We start from the raw sequence: 19,316 nt of genomic DNA, 5'->3' as shown, positions 1-19,316 counted from the left end.
TTGGTACCTGGGGCCACCAGGAGCTAGAGCTACAAGAGGCAGGAAGGAGCCTCCTCTGGAGGCTTTGGAGGGAGCGCAGCCCTGTGATACCCTGATTTCACACTTTTGGCCTCCAGAGCTTAGAGAACAAACTTGTGGGGTTTGGTGGGGAGGGGAATTCTGTTTTGTTTTAGAGATGTAGTCTTGCTCTGTTGCCCAGGCTGGAATGCAGTGGTGAGATCATAGTCCACTAAAACTGGAACTCCTGGGCTGGAGTAACTTTTTTACTTTTTGTTTTTTCAATCCTGGGCCGGCTACTTTTATTTATTTATTTTTATTTTTAGAGGTGAGTGGGGCGGGGGTTCTGGCTATGTTGCCCAGGCTGGTCTTGAACTCCTGGCTTCAGCCTCCAGGGCAGCTGAGATTACAGGCAGAGCCACTGCGCCAGGCAAACTTGGGTTGTTGGCAGGGCGGGGTGGCTCACGCCTGTAATCCCAGCAATTTGGGAAGCCGAGGCGGACGGATCACGAGGTCAAGAGATCGAGACCATCCTGGCCAACATGGTGAAACCCTGTCTCTACTAAAAATACAAAAATTAGCGGAACGTGGTGGCGGGCGCCTGTAGTCGCAGCTACTAGGGAGGCTGAGGCAGGCAAATCGCTTGAACCCGGGAGGCAGAGGTGGCAGTGAGCCGACGTCGCGCCACTGCACTCCGGCCTGGCGACAGAGTGAAACTCCGTGACTGCACTCCAGCCTGGCGACAGAGTGAGACTCCGTCTTAAAAAAAAGAAAAAACAAAACAACAACAACAACAAAACTTGGGTTGTTCTAAGCGACTCGTTCGTGGTCATTCATTCCAGCAGCCTGTGGCGGTGCACACGCCCCTCTCAGCGCAGCCAGGGGCTGGCACCCCCATCCAGGTTGTTCTCAGCCCGCTTTGAAGCCTCCACGGGAAGGCGCAGCGGAGCAGGGACGCGGAAACGCCGCAGCTTCCCAAGCCTCACCCACCTCGCAGCGTCCGCAACCAGTCCACGTTGGGAGCCTGCAGCGCTTCCGGGTCCGTGACGACCCCGCCGGGCACGATGCGCTCAAAGGCGGCCAGGTCCTGCTTAGACACCGTGGAGAACGGCAAGCGCCGCACGGGGTAGCGCTCCCGGGTCAGCGGCACCTCGGGGGTCCCCGGGGCGGAGCAGCAGCCTCTGCGGGCCAGGGGGCCAACCGGCCGACCCCAAGAACCCGCGGCTCCCGGAGCACCCCGCAACAGCCACGCGGGCCACGCCAGAGGCCGACGGGGCAGCATCGCCGCCGGGACGGAGACCTCGGGCTCCTCCTTGGTGGGGGGCCGGTACTCAGGGCCCGGAGGGGAAGGGCAGGGAGCCGCTGGCTGCGCGCCTGGAAGTGGCCAAGGGTAATTTCATGTTTTATGCACGTTGTACAAATTGAAACACGCTTGCAGAAGCAGGGAGGGGGCAGGAGGGCAGCGAAGGGAAGGCTCCGAGCACCCGGGCCCTCCCCCTGCCCGGGCCGCAACCCCGCGAGCGCGCGAAGCCCCACGCAGCAGGCCTGGACTTAGCGACGCGCAGGCTCGGGGCGGCCTCGCCGGGACCTTGCCCAGGACCCCGTTCCTCCGAGCTCGCCCCCCGAGGGGATCCCGCGGACGCGCGCGCGTGTTCCACGCGGTCACGTGACGAGCTGCAGCGCCGTCCCCCTCCCCCCACAGGCACCGACTGGCTGACGGCGCCCGAGATCGCGCCCCGCCACCCCGACCCGCGGCTGAACCGCAGACCGGGACCCTCAGCCCAGCGCTCCGCGCGGCCGCGCGCACGCACCCACGATCACGTCCCGAGCTCCAACCCGCAGCGCCCGCCGCAGGCCCAGAGCCGCCGAGCCGGAGTGGGCGGGGCGACGCCGCGCCTGCGCATTGACGGCTCCGCCCAGCGGCCGAAGCCCCGCCCCGCGCGCCTAACGGGCCCCGCCCCGCCTGCCCTCCAGGCCCAGCCCTGCGCGCCTACAGTCCCCGCCCCGCCGTCCAAGCCCCGCCCCGACTGGCACCGGAGGCTCGACGGCCACCGCCTCGTCCTGCGTTTCCTGAGGGCCTCCGGCGCGCCGGCTGTCGGGCGCATCCCTCCAGGTAGAGAAGGGACTAGGCTGAGCGCAGCCCAAGACGCCCAAGCAGCAGCTGGAGGGTTCTCCAGAACGAGGCCCGGGACGTGGGCTCGGCCGAGGGACCTGGGGGCCGGCCCGCTCCTCCGAGGCCGAGCCCAGGGGGCGCCCCTTTCCCCAGCGGCCTCCCCAGCTCCTGCACGGACCACCCCTCCTGGGTCCCCAGCCTTAGCTTAGGGGGCAGCTGCCTCCTGCAGGTGTTTTCTTGCCTCCCTGTCCCTTCTGCCTGTTCAGCCCTCCGTGCCCTCAAACCCTTTGCACACCTGGGGAGCTCCTGCCCTCCTGACGCAGTAACTGCTGTCCCGAGGAGCCTCCCGGCCTGGGATCCCCTGCCTGAGGCATCGCCAGCACTTGTTTTGTGTTTTTTTGAGACAGGGTCTAGCTCTGTTGCCCAGGCTGGAGTTCTGGGGTTGATCTCAGCTCACTGCAACCTCTGCCTCCCGAGCTCAAACCATCCTCCCACCTCGGCCACCCAAGTAGCTGGGACTACGGGCGTGCACCACCACACCCGGCTAATTTTTTGTTGTTGTTGTATTTTTGTAGAGATGAGGTCTCATGTGCTGCCCAGGCTGGTCTCGAACTCCTGGACTCAAGCGATCCGCCCGCGTCGGCCTCCCAAAGCACTTGTTACTTCAGCTCACCCAATTCCATAGAACCCTAGCGGGTGCAGAGGATGCCAATCTCTGAGCAGATGAGGGCAGAGAGCAGGAGACCACACTTGGCCCGAGGCAGGACTGCGGAGCTGTGCAAGAGGTGGAGGCTACGCCCGTGACAGCAGATGGGTCCTGGTAGTCACACAGAAAACCGGCGAGCTGGATTTGTCCTGGTGATGAGGCTCTGGAGCAGCAGTTGCAAGGAGTCATTCCTGTCCTCCTTAACCACATCCCCAGAGGCCACTCACCTTCTTCCCAGGTGAATCATTCATACAACCCTGGAAAGGAGACATCCACCTGGCCCTTCCTACCTGGCTGGCCCTTGCTCTGCAGATGAGTGTGGGAGTTTGCCCATTGTCAAGGGTAACTGTTGCAATTACACATTCAGGAACTGGAAAGACGACCACAGATGAGGTCTGTGGACCCCCTTACCACCTGACCTCCACACGCCCTCCCTTTGACTAGCAGGCCAGTGGCATCTTGGACCCCTGGGATTAGGAATGATTCAAAACCCATAAAGATTACCACCCATACCATCCCCTAAAATAACTGATTTTTCTGACCAGGCACGGTGGCTCACGCCCATAATACCAGCACTTTGGGAGGCTGAGGCAGGTGGATCACCTGAGGTCAGGAGTTCGATACCAACTGTGGGCGGCAAGCCACCCAGGTGCCGAGGCAAGAGACCGAAGACACGAGCTGTTCCAGTATAATAAAATAAGAATAGTTATACCAGATATAGATCTTAGATATGATTATATATGAATATCATTAATCATTAGTTGGTAGCAATTACTCTTTATTCCAATATTATAATAATCCTCGCTCTACAATCATAACCTAGGAAAAACCAGGCCATACAGAGATAGGAGCTGAGGGGACATAGTGAGGAGTGACCAGAAGAGTGCGAGCCTTCTGTTATGCCCAGACAGGGCCACCAGAGGGCTCCTTGGTCTAGCGGTGACGCCAGCGTCTGGGAAGACACCCGTTACCTAGCGGACCGTGGTCTAGCGGTAGCGAAAAGTGTCAAGAAACACCACCCGCTACTTAGCAGACCGGAAAAGGGAGTCTCCCTTTCCCCGGGGGAGTTTAGAGACGACTGTACTCCTCCACCTCTTGTGGAGGACCTGACATCAGTCAGGCTCGCCCGCAGTTATCCGGAGGCCTAACCGTCTCCCCGTGATGCTGTGCTTCAGTGGTCACGCTCCTAGTCCGCCTTCATGTTCCATCCTGTACACCTGGCTCTGCCTTCTAGATAGCAGTAGCAAAATTAGTGAAAGTACTAAAAGTCTCTAATAAGCAGAAATAATGGCGTAAGCTGTCTCTCTGTCTCCTCTCTCTCTCTGCCTCGGCTGCCAGGCAGGGAAGGGCCCCTGTCCAGTGGACACGTGACCCACATGACCTTACCTATCATTGGAGATGGCTCACTCTCCTTATCCTGACCCTTTGTCTTGTATCCAATAAATATCAGTGCAGCCTGGCATTCGGGGCCACTACCGGTCTCCGCAACTTAATGGTAGTGGTCCCCCAGGCCCAGCTGCCTTTTCTTTTATCTCTGTCTTGTGTCTTTATTTCTGTACTCTCTCGTCTCCGCACATGGGGAGAGACCCACCGACCCTGTGGGGCTGGTCCCTACACCAACCTGGCCAACATGGTGAAACCCTGTCTCTACCAACAATACAAAAATTAGCTGGGCATGGTGGTCGGTGCCTATAATCCCAGCTACTTGGGAGACTGAGGCAAGAGAATGGCTTGAACCTGGGAGGCAGAGGTTGCAGTAAGCTGAGATCACGCCACTGCACTCCAGCCTGGCGACAGAGTGAGATTCTGTCTCAAAAAAAAAAAAAAAAAACTGTCTCAGAAAATAATAACAACTGATTTTTCTTTTTCCCAGGGCATAGTCACCCTAGCAAAGCCCACATGTACCCTCAGAGAATGCTTGGAGGAAAATACGGCATGTGCTGGTTTCAGCGTTGTGGGGCCCTCACCCAGCATCTCAGCCTCCTCTTCCAGCGAGATGGCAGGTGCTGGTTTCCGCATTGTGAGGCCTTCCCCCAGCATCTCAGCCTCCTCTTCCAGCGAGATGGCAGGTGCTGGTTTCGGCGTTGTGGGGCCTTCCCCCAGCATCTCAGCCTCCTCTTCCAGCGAGGACTCCAGTCTACGGATTGGTTTTCACCTGGACGGTGGGTGAGAGGCCGACTGTACCTCGTGATGACCAAGCTCTTCCCGGGTTCTGTTAATGCACTCCTCAAGGCAACATCTTGAGACCCATCAGCTCCTGTTATGTTTGTGTCCCCCAGAATTCGTATGCAGAAGCTGTAACCCCCAATATGGCCGTATTTGGAGATGGAACTTCTGAAGAAGTAATTAAGGTTAAAGTCAGTCACAAGGGTGGGGTCCTGATCCGACAGGACAGGCATCCGTAAAATAAGAGACACCAGAGAGCTCCCTCTCCCAGTCAGTTTCGTAGGCACACATGAGAAGGCAGTGTTCACAACCCAAGGGAAGAGCCCTGGACAGGCACCAGACAACCCCAGCGCCTTAATCTTGGACTTCCAATCTCCAGAAATATAAGACATTTTTCTTAAGCCTCCCAGTCTGTGGTATTGTGATAACAGCCTGATATGGTTTGGATTTGTGTCCCCGCCCATAATCCCCAATGTTGGGGGAGGGGCCTGGTAGGAGGTGACTGGCTCATGGGCGCAGATTTCCCCTTGCTGTTCTTGTGGAGGTAAGTGAACTCTCAGGAGACCTGCTTGTTTAAAAGTGTGGCACCTTTCCCCTTTGCTCCCTTTCTCTCCTGGTCTGCCGTGGTAAAACGTGCTTGCTTCCCCTCCGCCTTCTGCCATGATGTAAGTTTCCTGAGGCCTCCGCACCACGCTTCCTGTACAGCCTGCAGAACTGTGAGTCAATTAAACCTCATTTCTTTATAAATTACACAGTCTCAGGTCGTTCTTTATAGCAATACAAGAATGGACTAATACAGAGCCTAAGCTGACTCCAGCAGCTTCCAAAAGGCAAGTGCAACACGGTAAGTCTTGCCCTTCCAGAGCAAGCACAGTACTCCTTTAGAAAGCAACTGCAGCGGCCGGGCGTGGTGGCTCACGCCTGTAATCCCAGCACTTTGGGAGGCCGAGGCAGGCGGATCACGAGGTCAGGAGATCGAGACCATCCTGGCTAACACGGTGAAACCCTGTCACTACTAAAAATACAAACAATTAGCCGGGCATGGTGGTGGGCGCCTGTAGTCCCAGCTACTCGGGACACAGGCAGGAGAATGGCGTGAACCTGGGAGGCGGAGCTTGCAGTGAGCAGAGATTGCACCACTGCACTCCAGCCTGGGCAACAGAGTGAGACTCCGTCTCAAACAAAAAAAAAAGAAAGCAACTGCAGCATTCTCACACGTCTTCCTTGGAAGTCAACTTGAGCCCCAGCACTGGCCACTGAGCTTCCTGAGCAACCACCCAAGGTAAGGCACAGGGTCCTCCCCAGACCCCCAGCCAGCAAGCTCCGCAAACCACTCTCCAATCACTGCATACCCCTTCAGAATTCAATTTCACACACCTGTCTCTGGGCACAACACTGACATTTTACACCTGTTTCCCAAAATGATGCTGAGTCTTGGGGGTGGTTCCCCCATACTTTTCTCGTGGTAGTGAATAAGTCTCACGAGATCTGATGGTTTTTTTAAGGGGAAACCCCTTTCACTTGGCTCTCATTTTCTATTGTCTGCTGCCATGTAAGATAAGCCTTTCGTCTCCCGCCATGATTGTGAGGCCTCCCCAGCCATGTGGAACTGAGGGTCCACCAGACCTCTTTTTCTGTCAGGTGCGGTGGCTCACGCCTGTAATCCCAACACTTTGGGAGGCTGAGGCAGGCAGATCACCTGAGGTCAGGAGTTCAAGACCAGCTTGGCCAACATGGCAAAACCCCATCTCTACTAAAAATACAAAAATTAGCAGGGCGTGGTGGCACGTGCCTGTAGTCCCAGCTACTCAGGAGGCTGAGGCAGGAGAATCACCTGAACCCGGGAGGCAGATGTTACAGTGAGCCGAAATCATGCAGTGCCATTGCACTCCAGCCTGGGTGACAGAGCAAGACTCCGTCTCAAAAAAAGAGAAAAGAAAATTTTTTTTAAAAAAAACCTCTTTTTCTTTACAAATTACCCAATCTCGGGTATGTCTTTATCAGCAGCGTGAAAACGGGCTAATACAGATGCACTTTCAATTGTTTGTTCCAAAAAATACTTTATTTATTAAACAATATATCCATAATCTATAACATGATCCAAAAATACTGATATACATCTTTACATTATCTAATAAAAAGATTTACAACATTATCTTTCCTTTACAAAGGGAACATAGATAATAATTCCTTGAAAATAAAAATGTAACATTCATGTTAAAGCTGCATCATCGTTTTGGATGAAACGTGGTTAAAGGTGGACACCACAAAATACATACAGAGGAAGAAAGAAACTCCAACACAATCTCTCCTGAATGGGAACATTTTCTTACACTTCCCCTGGCTTAAAATTCCTCTCAGCACAAGTATTGAAGGCCAATCACTGCTCACTAAAAATTTAAGAAAACCTTAAGTCTTCAATGCCCATAATTAACATCCCTCACGGTTTTACTCTAAACCATGAAGACCTAACCTAGGACAGGGCAGACCCTCGGCTCTGGGGTCATGTGGGAAGCTGCTCTGGGCCAGCGTCATTGCTCAAAGCAGCCCCAGCCAGGGCTCCCAACGACAGGACAGGAGGCCAAGTCCGGCAGGGCTGCTGGACACCAGACAAGCTGGCCGGTGTCCCCATCAGTCCCAGCAAACCCTCCCACCGCCACCAGTCTGCACAGCTGCTTCTCGCTGCTCCAGGCAGACTGGAAAACACCCACGCCACAAAGCCCTGGCCAACAGTGAGACGGGCGGTCAGCTGCTGCTCAGGCAGCCACGTAGGCCTCCGCACGGCGTCCCTGGCCAACAGTGGTCTCATGTCCACCCGCCCAGGGGTCCCGTCCAGCATGAGACGGGCGGTCAGCTGCTGCTCAGGAGGCCACGCAGGCCTCCGCTTGGCATCCATGTCCCCAGCAGCAGCACCTAGGGCACATTCGCAGATGCAGAGGGCTCGGTTTCACCAGCTCCTGTTTTCACTGCAGCCTGCCTTCCCCTACAGGATTTCCTCAGATCACTGACTGATACCGCAGCACTGAAAACAAGGAAAATGGGTAGAACGCTCCTTCCCATCGAGGTCAATCGCACAGCCACAGAGGACCCACACCTTCGGCTCAGATGAAGCTGCCACAGTGACCCACTGGTTCCAGCCCACACACCCTCAATCCAAGAGATGGGTCTGGGGCCGGGCAGCTGTGGAGGGGGGTCTGGTCCGAGACCAAATCCTTGAATCACCCCCAGGGAGAAGGCGGCCAGGCCTTCTGGAGCAAGGCGTGGATGGTGCAAATGGTGTGGCTTCTGTGTCCCTGCAGGGCGGGGGCCAGGCCAGGGGCCATGACCTTCTTTTCTGGCCAAACGGCCACTCCTGAGTGTGTCTCTCCCACGGGTAGACAGCGTCAGCCACAGAGCACTCAGGATTCAGTTGGGTCCAAACTACAGCCCAAGGAATTGTCTCATTCTGCTCATGTTTTCTATGTTTCTTCCAAAACTCTATGCATATTATTTTGGTGATATTATTGTAAGTGGCAAAAGTAAACATTAAAAACACTAAGCACAGAAACTTGAAAAGAAAAGGTCAAAATTCAATACCTGGGATGGTGCACAGTGGCAGGCAGGACCACATCATCACGTGTCAGACAAAAGCGTCCCACAGGGAAGCCAGTCATCTTTCCCCAAAAAGCAGCGAGACCTCAGGAAGCCGGGCAGCCAAAAGCATCAACAACCCCAGCGCTTTCCAGGGGTAGCCACAGGTGTGAACAGCTCAAAGGTGGAGCGCAATATCAAATTCATTTCTGAAAAATTGCCAGGCGCTGTTTCAGCACAAACTCCCTGCACTTACCTATCCCTCTTCCCAAAAATGGTAAAAGAGAGAAAAACATTTTCCACAATGTATCCTCCACGATCAATAAACATCTGTGTTGGCCGGGTGCGGTGGCTCATGCCTGTCATCCCAGCACTTTGGGAGGTCGAGGCGGGTGGATCACTTCAGGTCAGGAGTTCGAGACCAGCCTGGCCACACATGGTGAAACCCCATTTCTACTAAAAATACAAAAATTAGCTGGGCGTGGTGGTGGACGCCTATAATCCCAGCTGCTCGGGAGGCTAAGGCAAGAGAATCACTTGAACCCAGGAAGCAGAGGTTGCAGTGAGCCAAGATGGTGCCATTGCATTCCAGCCTGGGTGACAGAGCAAAACTCCGTTTCAAAAACACAAAACAAAAAACAAAACACACACACACACACACACACAAAACCTGTGCTAACAAAAAGTTAAGTCATTAAATGAAAATTCATCTCCCAGCTGAGCGCAGTGGCTGACACCTGTAATCCCAGCACTCTGGGAAGCCGACGCAGGCGGATCATTTGACCCCAGGAGTTTGAGACCAGTCTGGCCAATATGGTGAAACCCCGTCTCCAACAAAAATACAAACTTAGCTGGGTGGCCAGGCGCGGTGGCTCACGCCTGTAATCCCAGCACTCTGGGAAGCCGAGGCGGGCAAATCGTGAGGTCAGGAGATCGAGACCATCCTGGTTAACATGGTGAAACCCTGTCTCTACTAAAAATATAAAAAATTAGCCAGGCGTGGTGGCGGGCGCCTGTAGTCCCAGCTACTCGGGGGGGCTGAGGCAGGAGAATGGCGTGAACCCGGGAGGCGGAGCTTGCAGTGAGCCGAGATCACGCCACTGCTCTCCAGCCTGGGTGACAGAGCAAGACTCCGTCTCAAAAAAAAAAATTAACATACAAAACCCACCCATCTCCAGTTTCACAGCCGTGGCGAAGGGTGTGAAGCACTGTAGCCTGCCCTCTCTGGCGCTTTCCCTTCTAAGCCGCAGGAAGGCACCGCTTGGAGGGAGCCCCTTCAGGCCCAGACACTGGCAGGGACGAGCAGCAGCAGTGGCCGACCGCCCGCCTGCACCTGCCTGGCACCTGCGCCCGGAGGATCCACTCCCACCCACACCCTCGGAAAAGGACAGGTGGCCCAGAGGCATCCGTGTGTTCAAGAACCGCAGAACATGAATGTGGACACCATCCCAACCAGGACTGTTCAGGGTGTTCTTGTTCTCTTGTTCTCACTCACTGACTACCAGCTTCTCGACGGGAGGGCCCCGTCTGAGACACAGAGCTTCACACGTTCCTTCTGCTTTATTTCCTCTCCCTAGTGAAACATTAAACACAGGAGGAAAAGATACAGATGTAGCCATCAGAAGGAAGTGAGGCTGTCATTCCAAATGGCCCCCCACCATGAAGAAACCCAGGCTTCTTAAATCAGGAACCTCACGTCTCAGTTTTCCCTCAGGTTTCTTTCTGTGGTGTGAGGACAGAAACAGGCGTCCCTGCATTCCTCAGCAATCCTCTCCTTCCTCTAAAGGCACGGGAGAGGATTTCCGAGCGCCTGCGATGCTGTGGGGAACCGCAGGCTGGGCACCGTCACCAACGCGTCACAACAGAGCAAATCTGCATAGCCTTCCCCAACTACCACCGAAAGGATGGCTCCGGCTCAGCTTGGTGAACGCTCATTAAACAAAAAGCACACTCGAGTTTCCTAGCTTCATTCCAGAACTGCTATTGTGGCACAACAAATTCACAACAAATTCACATCGGAGTCCCCTCGACCGGGAGCTGCGGGCCTGGGAATGCACAGCACAGGCAGAAGCATTCGTGGTTCGTCAGCTCCTGGCAGACGGGACTCACTTCACGGACACACAGACCCACGATCTTCATGCTATTAGGGTAATTTCATCTTCACAGTAAAAAATCACCAATTCCCAGAGAAACGGAGCATCAGCCCAGCTGTCGCACAGGGTCTCGCGGGTGCTGGTCACGGGACCTGCGGCCACTCCAAGCTAATGAAGAGCCGTTTACTCCGGAGGTGAGTCCCCGAGGGAGGACTGAAGTCCAAGCTAAAAAGGCGGCGCCAGCGAAGCGGAGGCCGCTTCCTCCAGGGAAGAGCCCCCAGCCCTCCCGGGCCCATCCGAGGCGCCCCACGCGGGAGCGCACGGTGGCCGGAGGCGGCGCGGAGCCGAGTGTGAGGAGGGCAGCCGCCGCCACGGCAGTGGCCCCACGCGCGCCTCGGTGGCAGGTGCTCCAGCGGGCGGGGCACGCGGAGCCCGGGCTGTACCGGACAGTCCTGGAAAACCACAGGAAAGCTACGCGAGGGTGGCGGCCGCCCTCCGTGGACCAGGTTACCATGTCCCCGCCCGCACGCCCGGCCGGGCAGCCCGAGCTCACGCGCGCCCGCCCACGTCCGCCGGGGTCCCTGCTGATGCTCGGGGGGAGTCCTGTAAAAGCCACACTGAGGTCGCGGCGGCGAGTCCCTGCAAGGTCGCCCTTCTGTGCGAACAGGCTTTGGTGGTTCTTGTTCTAGGAAACATCCAGCGCTTCAACTGGCCACGGAGTTACTAAGTATCAACCGAACAAGGTAGTTTTAAAAGGAAGGGAAATATTGCGACACGAATGAAGGGACAGATTAACTTGCTCCTCGGATCCGGGCACACAGCTCCTCCTACTTCTTCTTCCTCTTTTCCTGGACACACCGTGGACAGAACCTGTGACAAGAAAGGCGCAGTGAGGCCCTGGGCGCCATTTCCGCCAGCGCGCAGGGTGCCCAGGGCCCGCCTCCCCATGTCTCCCAGGGCTGCTGGACGCCGGCAGGAGGGCACCAGGAGAGGCACACGCAGTGGGGCCGCGGCCCTCCCGCAGGGAAAATGCGCCGATGCACGTGCGGCTCTATGCAGGACGCCGGTTCTGAAGCTGACAGATACACCATCAATGAGCAAAACCGATTTGACACCCAGGCGTTCCTCCTTAACAGGTGGGTCCTTCTTCCCCGGCCGATGGCAGGGTCGCTGGTGCCCTCTGTCTGCAGTCTGTGGGGGCTGCAGGTACCAAGCACGCGTTGAGAGCATGGCAGCCCCTCAGGCCCACGGAAACCCAGCCAGGCACCCTGCACTGGCCCTGGAAGCTGCCGTCTCACAAGTGCTCCCTGGTGACTCTGAGCAAGTTCTGGAGCTGCACGCACAAGGGGCTCCTGAACAGAGGCAGCTGCTGACCACAGAGGACATTCCATAGGTTCCCCACGCAGGAGGCAGCCGACTCGCATGACGGCAACCGTCAACCACCGCCTGGCCCAGGCCCAAGCCTGCCCAGGGCCCTCCGCCCTAACAGCCTCCGTACCCCTTCTCAAAACCCTCGGTGCACCATCCCCCAGCCGCACGGCGTGGGGCACCACAGTGCCATGTGTCCCTGTGACAGGACAGCCTGTGTTGACGCCACATGACACCGTGAGCTCGGCCAGCCTCCGAGACACGGCATCCTTTCCCTGTGTCCTCACACCGAACACCAAGGATAACTGGCTCTTACCAACTCGGGCGAGTCTGCCGGAGTTTCAAACACGCTGCCACGATGACCTCTGAGTGCCACACAGAAGAGCACATTCCGATTTCATTTTCAGAACATAGATATCCATTTTTAGATTTTCAGCACAGGCAAACAAAGCCAGGTTTTTATCTTTTTATTTATTTATTTGAGACAGGGTCTTGCTCTCTCGCCCAGGCTGGAGTGCAGTGGCGCGATCTCAGCTCACTGAAGCCTCGGACTTCCAGGCTCAAGCCATCCTCCCGCCTCCGCCTCCCAGGTAGTTGGGACCACAGGCACGCACCACCACGCCCAGCTAATTTTTGTATTTTTTGTAGAGTTGGGGTCTCCCGATGTTGCCCAGACTACAGGTTTTTATTTAAATGAAATCTGAGGAACAACAATGCAGAAAGTTGCCATTGCCAAGGGGATGCAAGGGTCAGGTAGAGAAAACACACCCTTCTCCACTAGACAGAGCCAGGGGCAGAGCCCCAGATCCATGCCCCGGCTTCAGGGCTCACATCTCATGCTATATTTCCCAAATTTCCCTAGGGGACAAGAACCTCTCATTTCTGATTTAAGACGATCCCTACCTCCCAGAGTCCGGAAGGTTGTCCTTCAGGAGGGGCCATTAACGTGAATATCACGTAACCTGGTAACCACCATTCCTGGGTGACGGCATCCCTCTGCCAGCTCGGACAGGCACAGCAGCAAAGGGGGGATAAAGCCACACCCAGAGCAGCCACCAGCCAGCCACACTCCTTGAGGCCACAGTGGGGCATGCCTACGTGGCTACCGTGTCCCGCTAAGCCCGGCAAGATTCTGCCATGGAGCACCTTCTCCTGGGGAGGCCAGCAGCGCAACACCCAGCAGACTGGGAGAAAACAGAGCGAGCGTCCCCACACTCACCATTTTCCTTTGGGTTTCGTGGTAAGGTCCACGCAGGCAAAGTGAAACCACTCAATTGGACACTGCAAAGTAAAGGGAGAAACCGCAGTCAACACGCCTCATGTTCTGTATGCAAAACACAAGAAATGCCAACATCCGCCAGCCCTGCCCCACACAAGACCCCGCCCCATGGCGCGAATCCTGCAGGCGACACTCACGTCTGGATTGTCACAGCCAATCATCTCCCCATAGGAGACCTGGTGGCACAGGCAGTACGTGGGTTCGTTTGGGTCCACGGGCATGTCCAGCACATCAGAGGGGTGCACGGACAGGATGGTGTCAGTGAACTCAGACCTGCAGGGGACAGGGCACAGGCACCACTGAAGGCCATGGTGGGAAGTGAGGCGGCACGGACACCACGGGCCCTTCTGTCTCTGACTTAAGGCCCCCTCACCCCAAAACTGTGAAGACAATCATTCCAAGGGGGAAATTGGTACCGTGCTCTGAGCGACACATAATGAATAAGCTTGCTTCCATTTTTCCCATTGTCCTTTAGAAATGAATGCGACTCCAGGGCCAGCCACTGCAGTCATGCACTAACTGAATACACACCTTGTGGACGTTTTCTTCCTGGAGCACACATTTTCAAAACCTCAATAACCCCTCTGAACACGCAATGTTCTAAGAAGGCGCAGCAAGAAAATCATTAAGTATACGAACAGATTGTCAGCTGATGCTAGAAAGAACAGTTACCCACAAAAATCCAGGAACAGCAGCAGCTGGCAGCAGAGGGGTGGAGACCTCGCGCCCACCTTCGGGCCCAGGCAGGGGCATGGGGGCACAGAGGGCCCCCAGGAGGCCGTGAAGCGCAGCACTCACCCACAGCACCGGGGTTCTGGTCCCACTCTGGGGACGAGTCCACTCTCATCTCGGTCCCTCCTCCCAGACAGGACTCCCCCGGGGACCTCTGGACTCAACCCACTTCTGGGCCATCCCTCCAAAGACCCCGGCCCCTTTGGAAACAAGCACACGTCACCTCTGCCAGCAGACGGCTGACACCTGAGAGAAGCCTGCCAGCCTCCCACTCCAGACTGACAGGTGTCAGAGCAGCCCGCACAGTCAACAGCTCTCCCGTAACTGTGACCTCCTCCCAAGAGAACAGCCATGCGTCCTGCGCCCGGGCCCTCCACGCACCTACTCAGGCACCTCTGCCCCAATACTGACTCAACCAGCAGCTCCCCACACACTCCCTGGACCGCCCACCACCCACCCAGCTGTCCACCTGGCACAGGGCCCCTTCCGACCACACACCATCCTTGTCACTCCTTCATCCCCATCAGCTCCCACGTGGGTTTCTACACAGCAGCCTGGCAGGTGTTCCACCCCGTCTATGCCTCCCTCCAAGCCTGCCACCTGTAGCACCATGGCCGTCCCACCAGGACCACAGACCTCAGGTGGAGACTTTCCTGTTTGAAAGGGATGCACTTAGGGGGAAATTTACGCTTTTATATTTCAGTATTTTTCAAATAAACTTACAAGCTGCAGGTACTATAGACAGTGTATTCCCATTAGTACAGAAAGAAAAAGTATCTTCCCTATCCCACCCTCCAACCCACGAATATCTAGTTGGTATGTAAACACAGCAGGTTAGCAGGAGGAACGTGGCCGTGAGAAAAACAGTCACGATCAGGGAAAGCCAAGGAGCAGAAGTCTGGGTCCCAGAGGGAATCAACACTCAGCTTTTCCTTGGATACCTGTCTAAAGCTTTTCTACGCCTTTGCAATTGCCTGTACACATACACACACACTCGGGCTCAGCATGCACCCGGCCTCCCCGCTGCCCTCTGGCACAGGGGCGCCCACCTAAGTCTGTCCTTTGCAGGTAATCTGCTCTTCTGCTCTTTCTCTCTGTCTGGGAATAGACAGGGGTTTCTCTTTAGAGCTGAAATCCATCAGCGTCACAAGTCCAGGTCCAGGTGCTGCCGACACTGCTTTCAAGCAACAGTCTCAAGTAGTCTTCGGGTCTCTCCTCTGACAGCAGCACGCAAGGGTCTACGTCTCAGCCTCCTGCCGATTCCGGGATGCCACCTGTGGCTTCACCTCCAAGGGGCTCCTGCGGTCTCCTCGAGTCACCTCTCACCCGCGGAGAGCAGGGCAGCACCCTCTGCTGCCAACCGTCCCCGAAACGCTGACGCCCTCCTCTTCTGCGCCGAGTCCAATTCTGTCCACAAAGCCCGACCTGACATCTTGAGCTGCCACTTGACCTGTGTCTCAGCATCACCAGGTTCGAGGGCGCTGGCCAGATTTGATGGCTGTGGGAGAGGGCCGGGGGCCTGAGGGGACCGCCCAGCAAGGGCACCCCAGAAGCTGAGGCCACCGTGCAGGCCTCACTGGCCTCTCAGTCTCGCCTGAGGGAGCGCCATGGCGTGTGGCCAGGGAGTGCTGCTATCAGCCCTGAGGGAGGCAACCAGGAGGCCATGGGGAGCCCTGTCCCTTGCACAGGCCAGGGTGACCCCAACTGTCAGCGGCTGCTGACTCCCTTCAGCACCACTGCCACAAGAGGCACCCTCTGTGCTAACTCCCCAGGGTGTGGCAGGCACCCCTCGCCAGACGGTGCCAGCGAGCCCTTCCGCGCCCGGCCCCGATGGCTTCCCAGCACTCCACGTGGCTCCTAGCAGGGGGCTGGCTGCCTGTCCAAGCCCCGGGATTCCAGGTGCTACAGGTGACACTGCCCTTCATCCACACACACAGGTTCTGCCTCGCCAGAGCAAGGCCACAGGGCAGCAACAGTGCAGGGGGCAGCCTCAGGTCACGGGATCTCAGACGAGACACGGAGCATCTGTGCAGTCTAGGAACACTGCATTCCAGGAAGAGCCCCGGGCACGTGGGGAACAGGCCTGAAGAGGGCAGTCCACAGGGACAGGATGGTGCGTGCGCCTGGGTCCCCAGCAGGGAACAGGACCTGCCTTGAGGCAGAGCGGCCTGGCACCACAGCGTGACCACGAGGGGCGTGAATACCCACTGTGCTGATGGGTCAGGGACGCGCACCACAGAACTCCAGAGCCCAGGGGCAGGCGGGCTCCTGCACACACCCAGGATGATGCCCTTGGAGGCACCCGAGTGCACACTCCCGCCCCGGCAGGCCAGGCTTTGGGTCCAACCGACTGGTCCTCAGGATGACCCGTCTGCCCACCTGCACCATCCTCCTGTCCCTCTGGAAGGGGCCTCCTTGGCGCCTTGGACGTCAGAGCCCAGCTTCAGAGCTGGCCTTACCAGCCTGTCTCGACGTCTTGCAATGGGACAGGAGCAGCACTGCCACTTGGGGGCACAGAGAAGAAAGAGATTCACACACAAGCTAGATCCAGAGCCGCAGGGCCCCGCAACTGTCGCCATCGGTGATCACCCTTCTCATCTGTCACTACTGGGACCTGCACGGCAGGCAGCGCTGAGCTCCCAGGCTCCGCATTGCTACTAAACAGTGCTGGTCAGCGCACTGTCAGGACAGGAAAAGCCATGAGGCCACAGTGGATCTTCCTGTGTTTGCAGAGGTGCTGGCTGTTCCTGAGGTCTCTGAAGCTGGGCAGAGCCCTCAGGGAGGAAGCCCCGACCCCAACAGGGAGCTGGAGTCTCCTTCACCCCCACGAGGACCCCCAGTGCCTGCATTCCTTATGCCTAGCATACCCTTGAGAAACAGCACTGGGTGAGGAAGAGACCAGGAGGAGTCCCACTTTCACGCAGAAAAGGCACGGTCGGGACAGGGCCTTCAGGTTCCGAGCAGGAAGGAGCAGGAAGACTCAGAACGCTGTTGCCACTGAGTTAGAAAACACAAAACCCAGCAAGTCACAAAAACCACATTCTCAAAGATGTCGGGGAGCTGTGGAGCAACAAGAGCTAGATGACCTGCAGCCAGAGTGGGGGGTGTTGGGGGGTTGGGGGCGGCGTCCGCCTGCCTCATGCACTGAGTGAGGGCTGGGCTGGCCACTGGGCCACGCTGAGCCCACACAGCCACACATGGCGGCCGCGTCCCCACCGACATTTATAGTCCAGAGGCTGCACAGAGCAACTAAAAGCAGAGGGAAAATCCCTGCAACCTCGGAGTTCTCGAGCAAGGGGTCTGCTCGGGCACCGCTGGTCTCCTCCCCCGCACTTCTACCAACTGTGGAAGCCGCTGGGGCAGGAGGCGAGAGAGGAAACCTCAAGGTCCTCAAGGGGCCTCGGTGGAGCTGAAGCTGAGACCCTGCCCCGCCCCAGGCCCCCAGCCCTATTGGCCTGGACTAAAACAGAACGAACACCTCCTGGGGAGAACAGAAATTTCCCTCTCCACGCTTCCTTTATATCTAAAGTCAGACAGCTAATAAATCATGAGACATGTACCCTCAGCAGGGAAATAGGACTGATTATGTTTTTTTAAAAGCTGGTTACCAAGGAATGGTGGCACATGCCTGTGATCCCGGCTACTCAAGTGACCCTCCCACCTCAGCCTTCCAAAGTGCTGAGATTACAGGCATGAGCCAAAGCACCCAGCCCTACAATCTCTTAAATGAAAAATGTATTAAAGGAGATTAAAACTAACTTAGGGCCGGGCACAGCAGCTCACGCCTGTAATCCCAGCACATCGGGAGGCCAAAAACAGGCAGATCCACCTGAGGCCAGGAGTTCGAGACCAGCCTGCATAACACGGTGAAACCCTGTCTATACTAAAAATACAAAATTAGCCAGTCATGGTGGCACGTGCCTGTAATTCCAGCTACTTGGGAGGCTGAGGCAGAGAATCGCTTGAACTTGGGAGGCGGAGCTTGCAGTGAGCCAAGATTGTACCAGTGCACTCCAGCCTGGGTGACCAAGCAAGACCGTCTCAAAAAAAAAAAAAAAAAGACAGAAAGAGAAAAGAAGGAAGGAAGGAAGGAAGGGAGGGAGGGAGGAAGGGAGGGAGGGAGGGAAGGAGGAAGGAAGTGAGGGAGGGAGGGAGGAAGGGAGGAAAGAAGAAAGGAAGGAAGGAAAGAAAGAAGGAAAGGGAAGGTGAGAGGCTGAGCTGGGCGGATCACTTGAGGCCAGGAGTTTGAAACCAGCCTGGCCAACAGGCTGAAACCCCGACTCTACTAAAAATACAAAACTTAGCCGGGTGTGGTGACGCTCACCTGTAATCCCAGCTACTTGGAAGGCTGAGGCGGGAGAATGGCTTGAACCCGGGAGGCAGAGGCTGCGGTGAGCGGAGATTGCGCCACCGCACTCCAGCCTGGGCCACAGAGCCTGAACCTGTCTCATAAATAAATAAAGTAATAGAAACAAATCAAACTGAAGTACAGAAAGAAAAAAGCTTGCAGAAAGTAAGCAGAGCCTCGGTGAGCTGTGAGAAAATCTAAGCTAAGGAACGCACAGGGAGCTGGACAGCAGGAAGAGGAGAAAGGAGAGCACAAAAATACTGGAAGAACTGTCTGAAAATTTTCCAAATTCGATGCAAAGTATAAACCAACAGTTCAAAGATGCTCAACAAGTTCCACGCAAAATATACACAAAAAAATCACACCAATACACATCATAACCAAACTGTTAAGAGCCAGTGACAATGAGAAATCTTAAAAGCAAAAAAAAAAAAAGAAACCACCAAAAATAATTATTATCAGTAATTTATCATCAGAATCAATGAAAGACAGAAGAAAATGAGAGAACATCTTTAGCGATAAAAGAAAAAAGGTCAACCTAAAATTCTATACGCAGTGAAATAAAAGCATTTTCAGAGAAACAAAAACAGAGAATTCATCACCATCAGCATACATGTACTGCAAAAAATGTTAAAGTTCTTCAGTAGAGGAGAAATGACAAGACAGAAATTTGCATCCACATAAAGAAATATACGTAAGCAGAATATGTATGGAAAAAAAATTTTTAAAGAAAGAAAATAAATATTAAGAAATAATAGTTGGGCCAGGCGCGGTGGCTCATGCCTGTCATCCTGCCACTTTGGGAGGCTGAGGCGAGAGGGTCACTGGAGGCCAGGAGTTCGAGACCAGCCTGGCCAACATGGCAAAACCCCATCTCTACTAAAAATACAAAAATTAACCAGGTGAGTAGGTGGGTGTAATCTCAGCTACTCAGGAGGCTGAGG

At 55.7% G+C, this 19,316-nt stretch overlaps 2 protein-coding genes across 58 annotated transcripts in view, besides 4 other annotated features; both read right to left on the bottom strand.

Annotated features, from left to right (window-relative positions):
* The window catches only part of D2HGDH (D-2-hydroxyglutarate dehydrogenase), a 34,182-nt gene extending 32,308 nt beyond the window's left edge, over positions 1-1,874 (bottom strand). For 36 of the 37 annotated variants that reach the window (NR_109778.2, XR_007081557.1, XR_007081578.1 and 33 more), the window contains exons 1-2: positions 1,809-1,874; positions 988-1,371 (exon numbers count right to left, since the gene is read on the bottom strand). Coding sequence is in view for 30 of the 37 variants with exons in the window: in XM_011511750.4 (XP_011510052.1) it covers positions 988-1,279 (292 nt within the window). In the remaining 7 variants the exon portion in view is untranslated. The remainder of the gene's footprint in view (positions 1-987; positions 1,372-1,808) is intronic. The other variant, NM_001287249.2, reaches the window with a different exon arrangement.
* Positions 808-1,047: an enhancer, noted in NCBI's record as "active region_17430". NCBI's record gives its function as "activates an Ori minimal core promoter by ATAC-STARR-seq in GM12878 lymphoblastoid cells {active_cell/tissue: GM12878}" and the evidence as "EXISTENCE:reporter gene assay evidence [ECO:0000049][PMID:35858748]".
* Positions 1,088-1,197: a silencer, noted in NCBI's record as "silent region_12559". NCBI's record gives its function as "represses an Ori minimal core promoter by ATAC-STARR-seq in GM12878 lymphoblastoid cells {active_cell/tissue: GM12878}" and the evidence as "EXISTENCE:reporter gene assay evidence [ECO:0000049][PMID:35858748]".
* Positions 1,208-2,257: a silencer, noted in NCBI's record as "silent region_12558". NCBI's record gives its function as "represses an Ori minimal core promoter by ATAC-STARR-seq in GM12878 lymphoblastoid cells {active_cell/tissue: GM12878}" and the evidence as "EXISTENCE:reporter gene assay evidence [ECO:0000049][PMID:35858748]".
* Positions 2,298-2,347: a silencer, noted in NCBI's record as "silent region_12557". NCBI's record gives its function as "represses an Ori minimal core promoter by ATAC-STARR-seq in GM12878 lymphoblastoid cells {active_cell/tissue: GM12878}" and the evidence as "EXISTENCE:reporter gene assay evidence [ECO:0000049][PMID:35858748]".
* The window catches only part of ING5 (inhibitor of growth family member 5), a 42,459-nt gene continuing 30,168 nt past the window's right edge, over positions 7,026-19,316 (bottom strand). For 4 of the 21 annotated variants that reach the window (NM_001330161.2, XM_047446014.1, XM_047446011.1 and 1 more), the window contains 2 exons: positions 16,892-17,021; positions 14,697-16,528 (listed from right to left, as the gene is read on the bottom strand). In NM_001330161.2, the coding sequence (NP_001317090.1) occupies positions 16,382-16,528; positions 16,892-17,021 (277 nt within the window). In that variant the 3' untranslated portion in view covers positions 14,697-16,381. Of the gene's footprint in view, positions 11,846-12,329; positions 13,295-13,429; positions 13,566-14,696; positions 17,022-19,316 lie in introns of those variants that run through there. The other 17 variants (XR_007082548.1, XR_007082549.1, XR_007082544.1 and 14 more) reach the window with 11 other exon arrangements.

Source organism: Homo sapiens, chromosome 2 (assembly GCF_000001405.40).
Source record: "Homo sapiens chromosome 2, GRCh38.p14 Primary Assembly".
Taxonomy (NCBI): domain Eukaryota; kingdom Metazoa; phylum Chordata; class Mammalia; order Primates; family Hominidae; genus Homo; species Homo sapiens.
The sequence above is the reverse complement of the archived record's forward strand: the minus strand, read 5'-3'. Positions and strand labels throughout refer to the sequence as shown.